Source organism: Homo sapiens, chromosome 1 (genome assembly GCF_000001405.40).
Source record: "Homo sapiens chromosome 1, GRCh38.p14 Primary Assembly".
Lineage (NCBI taxonomy): Eukaryota > Metazoa > Chordata > Mammalia > Primates > Hominidae > Homo > Homo sapiens.
Genome location: NC_000001.11, coordinates 82,477,523 through 82,492,725, shown reverse-complemented (window position 1 = coordinate 82,492,725; position 15,203 = coordinate 82,477,523). Strand labels below are relative to the sequence as shown.

General features: G+C 38.0%; 1 long non-coding RNA gene across 1 annotated transcript; it reads left to right on the top strand.

The window, feature by feature from the left end:
• Window positions 1-6,952: 6,952 nt before the first annotated feature.
• LOC124904204 (uncharacterized) lies at window positions 6,953-14,948 on the top strand. The gene is made up of 2 exons (XR_007066194.1): window positions 6,953-7,300; window positions 14,025-14,948. It is a non-coding gene; the product is annotated as an uncharacterized LOC124904204 (long non-coding RNA).
• The last annotated feature ends 255 nt before the right edge of the window (window positions 14,949-15,203 follow it).

The following is a 15,203-nucleotide window of genomic DNA, read 5'->3' as shown; positions in this document are numbered from 1 at the left end:
ATATTCCAGGCACATGAGGTCCAAACACCAGCTGAACTTTTTGACGGGGGCTGGGCTTCTGGTAAAAGAAACAAGGGCACAGCACTGGAGGAGTAAGCGAGTGGTAACATTTGCTTAGTGATCTTCAATTTAGAAAGAGTAACTCATCACCACACATTAGTAGTCTGGAGTTGTGAATATTGTGAAAAAAATGGGAGGATATCAAAACCGTGCCATGTGTAAGAGAAAGGGAAGAAAAAAATGTGTTCTTCCCAATTCCCCTCCCCTTCCTGTTAGCTCTTGCAATGTCTGCAGATGTTTTCCTTCTGACTGTCATCTTTGCTTCCCTCTGTGACCCTTCCCCTCTTACTGATTTTGTTTTTAACTTTCCTTGACTCTCAGTCTCGGCCTCCTGACTTCCTTGTAACTAACACCATATCCCTGTTGGCATGGCATCCACTTGAAGATTATTGCTTTGCACTGGCATCTGAGAACTTCCTCCTCTCCTGACCCTGACAGCCACCACTCAGTGCTGTATATTTGGAAAAGGGAGGAAGGCCAGAGGCTCCCACACAGAAACATCTATGTTGGTGCCCATTTTCTCAGATCTATTTGGAGTAATTTTTTTTCATACTCTACTGGCTATTAAGGTGGGTCTAATGTTGCTTTTTAATGAAAACCACCTTTAGATTTAGGGAAAATCACATTCATATTTATATAAAGGCTTTTTATGTGATATCTGAATGTTTATACCCAAGTTTCCAAGAAATCATAGGCCAAGAAGAAAACAAAAATGTGTATGCACTGAAAATTTGGGTAGTAAGCTAATAGGGATCCTTTATAATTTAGCACTGAACTGCCCTCCTTATATAACCAAGGGAGGAATTTTCTTGGGATTGAGTATCTGTTTCCTGTTCTGATAATTAGCACCTGCTCCAAATTTGGATGAGAATACCACGTGCAGGGCCAGCATCTGGTGTCCCAAGCCAAAATGAGCTCAGAAGACTCCATATGTGATCAGAAATGAGGAAAGTTTCTGGCTGAGGTTTTCATTAGCCAAATGAAAGCTTTAGGGTTTCATTTTACTTCAAAGACAAGATCCTCTGAGCAGTACATCCTGTTGCGCTGGTAGTGATGATATTTTATTAGTAGCTATGAGGTACTGGAGCTAAAGAGTGGAATACAAGGCATCCATTTCCTAGCCACAAAACATGAGTAGTTGGGCAGTGCCAGTGGTTTTTTTGAAATTTAGAAGCTGATTAATATATTTCTCAAGCCTTAGAAAGTTTCCCCACAACATATTTGCAATTCTGTGATGGAGTAAGTCTTGAAAATATTTCAATAACTAAAGGCTAACTTAGCTATGTTGTATAAGCAGGACCAAAGGTCAGCTCAGTTGTTATGAGTAGCTACTCTAACAAAAATCTTTGACTTTTCATTTTACCCTGCTTTTCAACTAACTGGTGCCATCTGCATTCATTAAAACAGATTGATGTAACTGAGGAATGTCACATTTATTAAGTGTTTACTCTGTGGCAGATATGGTGTTAGATCAATTCACATGCCTGTGATTTGTCCTTTGCCTATTTTGCTCTGATCCTTTCTCTGCCTTTATTCTGCTGTGTTGTTTCTTGTGGGACTACATTTCCAAGACATTTTCCTCTCACTTTCCTGTAGGTTTGGCCAGTGAGAGGCATTTTGGGGAGCCTAGTCTCCTTTCCTTGGCATTCCTGGCAGCATCTGAGTCTCCTCTGTGGCTCCTGGTTTCATGAGCCATTCTCTCTCTGTCAGAGACCCAGCTACTGCTGAGCAGATCTTCCCTGGTTCCACTTTTTTTTCAAGTTGCCCTTGAATGTAAGCTTCAGTAAAGCCACTTACTCCTTTTGCTCTTCCAGGAATAAGGGTGGTGATGCCTAGCACCTATGTCTAATCTCTACATTGCCTCATTATCCCTTTGGGCTTCTCAATTATCCTATCACGTGTGTAACCAATTTCCTATTTTAATGTATTTGTGTTTGAAATATTCAGAATGGCTTCTGTTTTCCTGATTGGCTATTGTCTGAGATAATGAACATATATGCTATCTTGATTAACCCAAGATACAAAATTGTGAGGACGGCATCATTATCCCATGGGATAATAACACAGGATGCAAAGGCTCTACAAAGTTAAAAATATGCGTGTGTGCATGTGTGTGTGTGTGTGTGTTTATTCTTACAACGATAAAAAATAGTGGATGCTAGATGTGAACTATGTATACCACAACTACATTCTTTCAATGATACCACGTTGCCATTCTTTCTTCCCTCTAGTCTTGTATTATAGATTTATTATAGCATATTATTAAGTCTACTTGTCCTCCCTTGCAGAAAACACTGCCTAATGGAAGAAACCCCTAGTGAAAAGGGATAAGTAAACTATCTATAATCTGTGTGTCTAACTACTTTCCTCCGCCCCCAAAGAATAGATGTCCTCAGTCCTACTTAAAATCAGCCCAACAGGGTTGTTCTAGGTCCTTGTTATCATCCCTCCCTCCTATAACTTCAACCTTTTTATTTCCACTGGCCCCTTCCCAACGTGTAAATACATCATTATCAAATCCTCCCTTGATCCTGTATCACACTCCCTCTGATCTTTCGCATCTCCAGTCTTCTCTACCTCTCAGCTCCCATTTGCCTCCCAGTCTAGTGTGATCTGACTTCTTGTGTCTTCATCACTCAACTTCTTTCAATCTGGATACTACTGATCTCCTGAATGCCAATTCCCTAATTCACTGGTCTTAAAGTACAGCTCTGCTGCATTTAACAGTGTTGTTACCTCACCCCCATGACTTTCTTCACCACCCTCCTTAACCAGTTCTTCTCTTACAAATCAAACTGTTCAGGTCTCCTCATGTATTCTTGTTTCTCTTCCTGCTCCTTAAATGTTGATATTCATCAGGATTATGCCCTTGGCCCACTACTATTAGTATTGGACATACTCTCACTAGAAAATCTCACTCATCCTTCCATCTTTCAAACACCACTTACATGTTAAAATTCCCCAATGTATATTTATAGCACTGTCTCTCCAGATGTTTAGAGTCATTATCATAAAGCCTATTAACCATTTCTCACACATTTCCAGAATTGAAGTCATCATTGTTAACTTCCTAAATTGGATTTTTTACACATACTCTATACTTCAACATCTTCCGAGCATCTAAGTACTTACACCTAGAATCATGGTTCGTCCCTTTTCCCCATCCACCAAATATAGGCAGTTTTGCCTCTTATGTACCCCTTATGTCTGCCCAACCTCTACTGTCACTCTCCTAGTTCCACTCTAGTCTTGCCCTTCTCTATTCATCCTACACACCACAGTGATTTCACTGATATGCACAGTTCTTGTTTAACTCTCAGGCTTCATTTAGACCATCTCTTCCTCTACATGTCCCAGCTTTCTTATGTTGCATGTGGCATGCTTCCTCTCACCAAAAGGCCATTGCACACATTATTTCTTCTTTCTGGACAGCTAGTCACGGTCCCATTACCTCCTTAACTCTTACCCATCTTTAGATTATACCTCCACTCTTATTTCTTCAAGGAACTCGTCCTCATCCTATTACCCCATTTCTTTAAGTCGAGATTAGCATTTGTTCAGGTTGTGCTTGTACATATGACTATTTGATTAACAAATATCTCCTCTGTCTTTCTATAAGCTCTTTAACAGCAGGAACTCTGGATCAAATTTCTCACATGTAGTGTAGTCCTAATACATAATCTGCAATCAAGAATTATTTACAACATAAATGAATGAGCAAATGAAAAGCCATTGAGGACAGAATTGTTATACTGGAATCTGATGGAGTTTGATGGATGTGGCCTTAGAACATAAAAACCTCTGCCATTCCTATTTTCTTGAGCTTGTTTTGAGTATTATCATGATACATAAAAAAGAATCTGAGGACTTATAATATAGTCTTCAGAAACAATAAGTCTGTGCCTCTACTGTAAATTTTCTTGTGTAATATTGTAGGCTGTAGCAATATGGTACTTATTGCCTTACATAATGCAATATAAGTACTGCTCCCCTCTCACAATCATTCCTTTGGTGTTTTTCAAAATATACCTTCTTTTCCTTTCACAGTATTGGTGCTATACTTGTTTAAGATATGCTGAGGGAGGAGCAAGAAAATATTAACATAAACATTTTCAGAATTCGGACAGATGCTGATACTTTGCAGCAAGGGGAAGCCAGGGTTGTGATTTAAATTTCTACTACTGAAATTTCATATACTGAGATTCATGGATAAATGTAGAAATCAAAAAGGTCGGCAGTAATATAAGAAGGAAGTTATATTTTAATTGTGACAGCTGTTTCCAATTGGACATTTCTTATCAAATGAGTATTTTGTGAAAAACCAAAAAGCAGCATAGCATTCTAAATATAACCCAGCACCTAGCACTGTTAGAGAAGCTAGAAATGCCAACTTAAAGGAGACTACAGTTTGTCAAACTCATCGTTCTATATAAACCTTCAGACATTTGGCAAAACTGTGTCTATCTGATTGTGGAATGGAAAAGAGAAAAAATAATTCTTAAAAGAATAAAACTTGGAACTGAAACAGAAAGTTTCTTTTCCAAAAGAAATCCGCCCATAATTGTAAGGCCTGTAGTCAAATCATAACCACAGTCTAAAATGAGACCAGTTTTGGTCCTAACACTTCCATTGATATTTTCACATTTAAATGACTTTTGTCATGCATGAGAGACTGTTGTTTACTTTTTTCTTTGTAACTGGAGATCTATATTACCTTTATTGTACCAATGTCTCATGTGAAGTGTAGTAATAAAGAACGTTTGTGATATATGATCCGCATAGAAAATATCTTATCATATAATTGCCCACATCTCCCCAAAAAAAACTATTAAAAAGCATCTATTAAATGCTCTTTGTTTTTTCTCTTTCATTTTGGCTTGTCTTTATTGCACTTAAAAAAACAGCTAAAAAATTATTTTTCATGATTTTGGTATACATTAGGGCAGATATACACATTTATGTACATATTTCTGGGTTATTTATTTATTTTTGAGACAGGGTCTCTCTCTGTTGCCCAGTCGCAACCTCCCAGGCTTAAGGGATCCTCCCACCTCAGCCTCCTGAGTAGCTGGGACTCTCGGCTCATGCCACCATGCCTGGCTAATTTTTGCATTTTTTGTAGAGATAGGGGTTTCACCATGTTGCCCAAGCTAGTCTTGAACTCCTGGGCTCAAGTGATCCACTGACCTTGACCTCCCAAAATGCTGGGATTACAGGTGTGAGCCACCATGCTTGGTCTTATACACATATTTTTTGACATTTGTGTACACATATATATGAGACAATTTCTTGACTGTTTTAATAATGATATGACTTAACAGATTTTTCTGTTTTTACATAGAAATATTTTAAAAAATCAACCTCAGAAATGAATAACAGCCCAAAAGAGGTCTGGGAGAGAAGGAAGCTGTATTGTTGGTACAGAAGCCAACATAGGAGAAAAGACTTTTAGCCCTCCCTCTCCTCCTGGGAGACACAGTTGAAGGAAGAGCAGCCTGTGATTCAGAGGGAAGGACACTGAGTCAGATCCTGCAGGTGATTAAAAGACACAAAGTATTAAAAAAAAAAAAAAGCAGGGGTAAGGAATGGGTTGAGAATCAAGATGGATTATAAAAGACTGCATAGAAAAAGAAGAATCTGCTAGCTAAAATGTGGGACTTTCCCCCCCCCTTCTCTTAAGAAAGAGCCATAGAAAAACTGGAATAGAAATACTTTTATCTAAAAAGAAAGAAATGAATACATGTAATTTCTGGGTCATCAGAAAAACTCAGCTGCCAATCCCAGCTCCACCCTAGAGGAAAATTGGGCTAATGACCTTGAATGTCTCTTTTTATCTGGCAAAGATTGAAACACCCTCAGCTGGGACAGGAGACACAGGATCCCCTCCTCAAGAGCAAGTTCAACTTGGAAGTAGTCTGGGGAGCTTGAAGGAATTTGCTTTCGCCTTCAGTAGTTCTGTGCCATAGAGACTGCAAGATGTTATCGCTTGAGTTCTGAAGGTGCAAGAGAAAGTCAGCCAACCTCCTAGGCCTGGTTTTCCTCACCTGCAATACAAATTAGGGAGCCTCTCGCTTACACCACAGTTTTCAAAAGCTCTTCCAACTGTTTTAGCATATCGGAAACATCTTTTATAAATCCCAAAGGCCTAAGTTTAAAATAGTAAATCTGACCCCAAATTCCTTTCTTTCGGTGTCAAACTCAGTACTTTTATGAACAATTCCAAAAAACGCCTTGGTAGGCCAAACACCATGTGTCCAAGAGGTTAAATGGGAAACAGGGTGTGAATTACTTAGAGAGCTATTTTATAAACAAACATCAGCTAGGATTGAACTCTACTGATTTGGAGGTGACTTAAGTCCAATTTCCTGCTCCTTCCCATTCTTTCTTTTCAGGACCAACAGCATTAAGTGCTACAAAGAGAGACCCTGCTGAGGGGGCCCCTCCTCTCCTCCCCAAGATCCTGCCAGGAAGGGACTGCCTTTTGTCACAATTTGGCTGACTGGTGAGTGACACCGAAATGCTCCATCTTGCTCAGACTGAAGGACAGTGGCACTAATCCTAAAGGACAATAAAGAGTTTTTAAAAGAAAATGGCTTGAAGTGAAACTGACCAAAATCTCATCCAATAAGGGAACTTAAAGAGTCTTCTGAATGACAGCAAGTAAGAGGCCTATCAATCAATCCAAGGCGCTCCCTACACCTGCATACTATTTCTACCAATGAGACTTTACCAAACCTATTATGATGCAAAGTGGTGGTGACTCATAAACCGAGCATCTCAATAATTCTCTTTCCCATCTTTTTCTCAATTCCAGGTCAATTGAGGGTGAATCCTCAAACCAGCAGGCTTTAAGGAGCACCTTAGGGTTCAGAGCAGACCTTTTTCTTTTTCTGCCAGTGTGTAGCAGATCTCCTTCTGCAGCCTTGGCTATGATCTCCGCTCCTCTCTCTCTCTGCCTTGGCTATCTGCCTGCTCTCCTGCTGTCCTCATCTGTAGGAGCTGCACAGCTCAGCAAGAAACTGTTCTTAGTGTGCCCATCAAAGCACTGGAAGAAAAAGAATACTGAGATAGTTGCCTGAAAAGCAGAAGCAGCTCCTGTCACAGTGCCAAATGCACTCGTTTAAGGAATTCTGATTTTACAAAAGGAACTCCCCCAACCCCCAAACTAAAAGTTAAAGATGAAGAAGCATCATGTCTTAAAATAGACAGTTTTGTGTTTTCTCACTGCAGTCAAAAACAGGTAAGAATCACTATAGCAATGCCCTCTTGATAGCTGATTGGTTTTTCAGACGCCAGTTTGGTATTAGTTCACTGTTTAAAGATTCAGAGTGATCCTTTTGTTACATATTATATCCACGTGTCTTCCCACAAAGATGAAAATATTTAACCATGCCGTACTCTGTGTGATTGATATTACTTATTCCGGAATTACTGTTTTATTTGATAATTATGTAGCAGGTTAAGATATGTGAAGACAGTAGTCCTGATGTGTAAATAAGCAGATCATTCTGGTAATTATATCTGTTTATTAGAGACCTGCTGTTTTATTGATATTTATTCTTTGCCACAGGGTCAATATTTCTTGCTCTGTGTTCATAAATTAGAGCATCAAAATTCCACTCACCTATGACACCATTTTGATGTGAATCATATTTACTGTTAATTGAATTATAAAGTTTGAACATATTTGGAACATATATGTTCTACCTTACATAGCATGACCCTTAAGAATTAAGGAGTCAATTAAATGCTTGGTCATTTTCTGTAAGTACCTTATCAGTTATCTCTGAATTATTGTTATGTATCAAGGCAGTGCTATTTGACTCAGTATTAATGGAGAGATGAGAGTTTGGATGATGTACAGGTTCTTCAAGTTTATACAAAGCAAATGCTGTAATGAGTGCTTCTTGAACTTAACACTTTAAATGTCTTCTGTAAATATATGAGAGTGAAAGTTCAAATTTTAATGGAATAAATTTGTTTTACTCCTCTGGAAGATAAAGAAGGGTAGAAGCTGCCGGGTTTACTGTAGGTGTTCAATAAGTATTTGTTGATTGGTTAAGTATTGACTGAAGAAAGCAAGAAAAAAATGTTAAATTTTATTATGTCATCTATGACTCCAATAATCCTTAGATTGAACATTATGGTCACTTCTTATACAATTTAAAATCCAGATAAAGTAATTTTTATCTGTCTTTGGTATTTTTCTTTTTAAAACTGATTTTTTTTCTCTTTTTTTTTTAGGGAAAAAATAAAGGATAATTTACCTTTGGGGAGCAGAAAGACTTTGATTCTTTTATGACAATAAGATGCTCAAAAGAGCCATAAGTTCCTAGAACATCTAAATTGTGTCCTGAAGATGCTTTGGAAATATAGAAGATTGTTTTTAGCCAAAAGTTCCCAGACCTTTCCTTTCTCTCTTTCCCTTTTTTTTCTTTTTTTTTTTTTTGAGACAGAGTCTCACACTGTCGCCCAGGCTGGAGTGCAGTAGCATGATCTTGGCTCACTGCAACCGCCGCCTCCCAGGTTCAAGTGATTCTCCTGCCTCAGCCTCCCAAGTAGCTGGGATTACAGGCGCCTGCCACCATGCCTGGCTAATTTTTTTGTATTTTTAGTAGATACAGGGTTTCAATTGGGATCTGAAGCAAAGACAACTAAAAAATACCAGTACTTTCACACAAGTTCCTTTGAATAAAGAATCTTAATTGAATCCTAGTCTCATAATCATAACCTAAGGATGATTATAATCCCTCCCAAAACCTAACTACTTTTAAGCCTAGATATATGAAATACAACTATTGCTATCTAGCACCATTTTTATACTCTCAAGATGTTTGGTTAAGATAAAGTCAGCATAACATAGTAGAGTCAAGAAATCTGCATTTTAGTTTCAATTCTGCCCCAACTAACTATGCATGTCTAGCAAATTACTTAATCCTCTTTTATCTGTGAAATGAAGTCATATTAGATCATCTCCATTGACTCTTTTGTTCAATATATCAGAAGAGGTATATTTCCTCCGCTGATGATAACCAAAATATTTTTCATATATTGAGAGCTTCCCTGTATCAGTCAGTATGTTAAGTGTTTTACATTTATTTTTCTTGTTTAACCCATGCTTACTAGTGCCGTTTTCCAGGTGAGGAAGCTGAGGCTTAGAGATGTTAACTGATCTGTTCAACATCTTACAACTGATAAATGGTAGACATGGCATTTCAGCCCATGTATTCTGACTCCCTGATTCCACCAAAACCTGTCTGAGGCTGAGGACATTGCAATGTAATGAAGTCGTTTAACATCAGGGGTCTCGGGCTTCAAACTCCTTGGGAATCGGGCTCTGAGATTAACAAGCAGGAGGTTTAGTAGGGACTGCTTTGTGGAAGGGAAAGGAAGGAAGCAGGATTAGATAGAGGGAGACAGTGAGTTCTGATGTAGTCTCAACACATGGCTCAGCGGGTCTTACTGGGAGTTCTGACAATGTAATGACCATTCAGGTTATCCTGAGTTCAAGTGAGACAGTGAGCCTGTATGTTTCCCCATCGATCAATCACTGGATACAAGAAATAGTACTAAGGGGGTGTGACCTTGAGCAAGGCAGATCTCTGCATCCAAGGCAATCCCTGTACCAGGCTGCCACCTGAGAGCTTTCAGTTGGCAGCTCTCCCAAAAGCTGAAAGATTCCCTAAAGGAGGCCTGGGCGGCTCATCACAGCATCCAAGATGGAGAGAAATGCAAATATAAGAAATCTAGACTATAAATGAATACAAATAATGTCAGAAGGCAAAGCAGTATAGTCAAAGATACTTAAATTTCAGCTCATGATCAGATTGCCCTGACAAGGGAAATAATGTTGAGGCTTGAATTTCTAGTACTGTAGTAAAAGAAACTATCTGACGGAGATCCCTTTTTTTTTATTTGAACATATCTATATCAAGCATTTAGCATAAACATGCAATATATAAGGTTAGAAGTTTGATGAGGAAGGGATTAATGCTCTGTTGCTGTCACTGTTCAAGGTGGTATCTCTGTGTCTATTGAGGGGCTGGGCTGGGATGTAGCACCCTTAGGATAGGTCATCATTCCAGTAGTTACATTCAAGAAGAGAAAGTACTACATATTCATTCTTTTGTCTATTTATTTATTAATTATAATTTAGTGGGAATATCATGAGTCTTGAGGTCAGATATACCAGTTTTGCCATCAATGTGTGTGTGTGTATATATGTATGTATACGTACATATATACATACATATGTGTGTATATATATATATATATATATATATACACATTGTGTGTGTGTGTATGTGTACACTTAACAACTATGAACCAGAGCTAATAAATTTGTAAAATGTGGGTTAAAGTTAGTTGATTAGATAATAATAGTAATTTTATCAAAAAACTCAGTGCAAAAATATGAACCTCCTTATCAGATGTCTAGTATATATTAGGTACACAGTAAATGTTATTTCTACTTAACATTCGTCTTCATATATGCCAGACTCATAGATAAAATACAGTTCCTGCTTCCTAGAAGATCACATTTTACAAAAGGAAAAAAGAATTTTAACTAATTATAATTCATTTTAGCAAATGTCACAATGGAGGTGCAAAGGAAATTCTAGGGGAATACAGAGAATGATAGAATTATTTCTACCAACAAATACTGGAAAAGTCTTCACAGATATACTGTCTTTGGTTGATAACTCCAGATGAATAGAAGTTTCCATCCAAGAGGGAAAAAGGGCTTTCCATGAAGAAGTGATATCATTTATTACCTTTTTTGTTTCCTTCCTTTATTTTAGGTCCCTTTTTAAATAGTAAGTCATTGACTAATTTTCAGTCAATTCTTGCTAGTACTCATCTTACTCAGTTTATTGGCATCATTTAACAAAGATAACCACTCTTGCCATGTAATATTTTCAGCTTGGCATCCAGAACATTATTTTCTCTCCTTCTTTACAGACTATTCCCTTAGTTTCATTTGTTGCTTCATCTTTGTGATCTTCAATAAAAATTGGAGGCCAGGTGCTGTGGCTCATGCCTATAACTCCTGGCATTTTGGGAGGCCAAGGCAGGTGGATAACTTGATCTCAGAAATTGAGACCAGCTTGGGCAATATGGCAAAATCTCATCTCTACAAAAAGTACAGAAATTAGCCAGGCGTGGTGGTGCATGCCTGTAGTCCCAGCCACTCAGGAGGCTATGGTTGGGGGATCCCTTAAGTCTGGGAGGTCGAGACTACAGTGAGCCATAATCACACCACTATACTCCAGCCTGGGTGACAGAGTGAAGTCCTGTCTCCACAAAAAACAAATGGGGTACCTCAGGCCTCTATCTTCGCACCTCCTCACCACGTTATTGACACCCAATCTCTAAATAATCACATCCAGTCTCTTGACTCTAAATGCTGAGTTTCCAATATTCAGTGCCCCCCAGCCTTACCTGTGACTTCAGCTTTGTTTATCACAAAAGCCAGAGTGAGCCTTTAAAATGATGAGTAGGATCACATCGATGCTCTGCAAAATTAACTACCACCCCTGGTTTCTTGTTTTGTTTTCAGCGAAAGCCAAAATCCTGACAAGGTCCTAATGGTCTCCTTTTATGTCCCTGGCTTAATTGCTACTCGCTGCCCCTCACTTATACTACTGCAGCCACTCTCTCCACTCTAGTCCTCCTTGTTCCTAGAAAACATCAAGCAGTCAGCCTCTTGGAATCCTTCTCTCCCTGAATCTGACCACCTGACTTTCAGAGAATCATGGCTGCTCCTTTGCTTCTGCCTTTGAAATCTCACTTGAATGTATCTTTTGGCAACCATACAGGGAAGAGATTCTGGAAAATGTAGTTCCAGCTTAAGCAAACAGTCATCTTAAAGAACGACCACAGTTGTTGATGTGCAAAACAAGCCTTTTTCCATTATTCCCCAACTGCATTCCTAGTACTGAAATTGAGGAAGCAATATAGCATAGCAAATAATGTAAAATCTCTAGTACCAGACAAACTCATGTTTGAAATCCTAGCACTGGCATTTACTACCTATGGGAGATTGGAAAACTCAACCTTTCTTAATTCCCAGCTACAAATAGGGGAAATAAGAATAACCATTAATAATATCATAAACATTATATAATAGGAATAATTAACTGTTTATTAGCTACATTGTAATAATCAATATAGGAGAATCATATAACTATCTCAAGGATTGCTCTAAGGATAAAAAGATATAATGTATGTAAAGCACCTAGAACCTAGGAAATATCCAAAATCATTAGCTATTAGAATTCCTATTATTATATCAGCGAGTGCCATAGACATAATAATAAAAGCTAAAGCAAATGCCAAAAAAATTGGGAAGAGAAAGGGGAAAGGGCTAGGCAAATAATTCATAAACCGAATAATTAGTCCCCAGCCACTAGTTTCTCTATAATTGTCAAGTTCCTGGTGCCAATTTTAAAATGTTAATCCTCAGGAAATATCTAGGTAGTAAGTAAGAAGAGAGGGGAAATGGCACGTGATGCATTGAGTTATTACTGAACCTTCGCAAATGTTTCACATGCGTTTGGCCTTCTCTATTACTTTAAATATTCCTTCCAACTATAAACATCAAATGAAGGTTACAGGTCTCTGAGACCATAACAACATCACTGTAAAGTGGAGTCTGAATTATTTCAGGAAAAAGGTGGCACTGGCATTGGAATTCACTTGTGACTCCTGAAAGAAAGCACTGGTTTTATTGAAATGAGCAGGAGGTCTTTTGCTAGTTGTTACCTGTAGGTGCAACGCAAGTGTAACCCTTATTTGTTCAGACTACATCAAACTGAGAAGTGGAATAATATCACAAAAGCGATGACACAATAGCACTTTTCAGGCTTAGCCCTCATCCACAGCATTGTGGAAACCCCAGCTCTCACTCAAATTCTTCCGACTAATTCAGGAATTCTGCAGAGAATGTTTCATGTTTACTGCTGGATGCAGTCTTCCTATCTAATACATAAAACAGCCTTCTTCTTTCCCATCCCTGGCACTGTAACTTTGAATCCCCAAATCACATTATATCAGTTCTGACCCTCTGCTACAGCAGCTGCGGTGGGTCTCCTTCTGTTCCCAATATCACTGCTAGGGCTCAACACCAAGGAAAGAAAGCTGTTGTCCTCCTCCTGCTGGTCTTATAAACCCTGGTTTTCTGGTTGTCACACCAGTAGAAACTAGTCTAGATTAGGCCACTGTGGCTGTCTCCTGTTGTCACTGCTGATGGTAATAGCTCAGTTCTGTGCTACAAGCATTACCTCTCTGAAGGAGGGGAAATGTCCTACATCTAAATTTGTGTTCCATTTTGTTGTTTCATATGATACAAAGCATTTGTGTTGCTTTGTGCACTCAACATCTTCAAAGAGATTTTAGTGATACGACACAGGAATAAGATGGTGAAAACAAATGTCCATCTGAATTTCTCAGTGAAAACCCTGTGATTGTTTGAAAGAAATATTTTGTTAAGTGTCCAGTGGGCTTTTGAAGTGGAGACTGAGAGCTCAAGGGCATTTTGTAAACAACAGAAGATGTGTAAGACCGTAAAGTGGTGAGAAAGAGAAAAAGCTGGAGCGTGAAAGGAGGAGGAGAAGATATTAAGAGAAGATTGCACAGTACTATACAACCTCTCTCAGTAACCCCTACACTTTCAGTTTGATCTGCTAATTCTAGCAAAATTTCTTAAAAGCCTTGACTAATTGGATTTATTGAGAAAGTGGTAAAGTGCTGTATTAACATTGACACAAGATGAAATCGGTATAGTCTCAGGAGCCAGAGCAATGATTTTCCAAGAGTTTACAGAAATCTTAGAAAGTTTTAGGCTACCCCAAGTGAAAAAAATGAGATTTTTTCAAGTAAAGCTATCCAGATCTCAAAGGCAGAGGAGTTATCACACATCATAAGGATTAAAACATACTTTTGTCTCCTCTTGCTCTTCCCAGAACTCTGGCAAAACAGCATGGAATGGGAAGTGGACGTGGCTTTCTGCATAAAACACATACCCTGCAACATAGCAAATTACTCTGCCTGATCCTTCACCCATTATCCTTGGACCAAGCTTATGCTTTCTGTAAAGTGAGTCTTCATCTTGAGAATCCTTATTCACTAGACAGATTTGATTTGCTTTGCTTCACTTTCAAATACATCAGGACAGGTCTGAATTTGTAATAGGTATCTTGTCTCTTTTACTTAGGACCATTACTCTTTACATTCCTTTTGAAAGTCTTTTTGCTACTCTCAATAGATCAGAGATAGAAAAATTTTCTTAGAGAAATCTAAGAAAATAAGTTCGCTTCAAAAATCTCTAAAATGCCTTCCAATATGAAGATGACCAGATGACCAGAACTGTCCAAATTTTTGGACAATGTTATTGTTTCCTCCACCACCTGCTCTTTCCTTTCTCCTGTAAAGAAGAGAGCCTTTAAAGAAGTAAAAATATTATACCAATGCCCCTCATTGAGGGTCCATAATCATATCAATTTGTAAAGCACCTGCATTTATTAACCTCTAATTGAAGATGGTGTCCTCTGTATTTTTCACTGTGCCCAATGCAAAAACTCATGTGACTAATTATGTTCATAATTAAAAATATTTTTCTCTTTTGTTGAACTGATGAGATTCTTTGAATTAGAAACTAAAACCCATCTAATTCTTTGTGCTTATATTTGTTTGACTTCCAAGAAGTTTGTTTATAATCTTCATGTTTAATTATAGTGTTATATTTGTTTTCAGTTTTCTGATGTAATTGTTTTAAGTAATTAGGCTGTACCTAATTATTATTTAGTTATCGCCTATTGTTTTGTTTGCTTTTAAAAAACAGTTTTTATTGTTTTAAAAATAAACTTTATCAAATGCTTTTGAGAATAGGTGGTGGTGTTGATGCATTTGAATTTGCATGGAAGGACATATTATATGGAAAAATATATTTTTATTCAAGCAACATAGTAAGACAAGAATATGGATCTGCAAATCCAGAGTACTGTGTTTTATTATTCCACAGTTCTGATACATTTGCTGTAAAATTTAGACGAGTCACCAATTCTTCCTAAATTTTCTGATTTTTATATGAAAGTATTCAAGTAGACAATCTCTAAAGTATTTTAAGCTCTTATATTTTATGA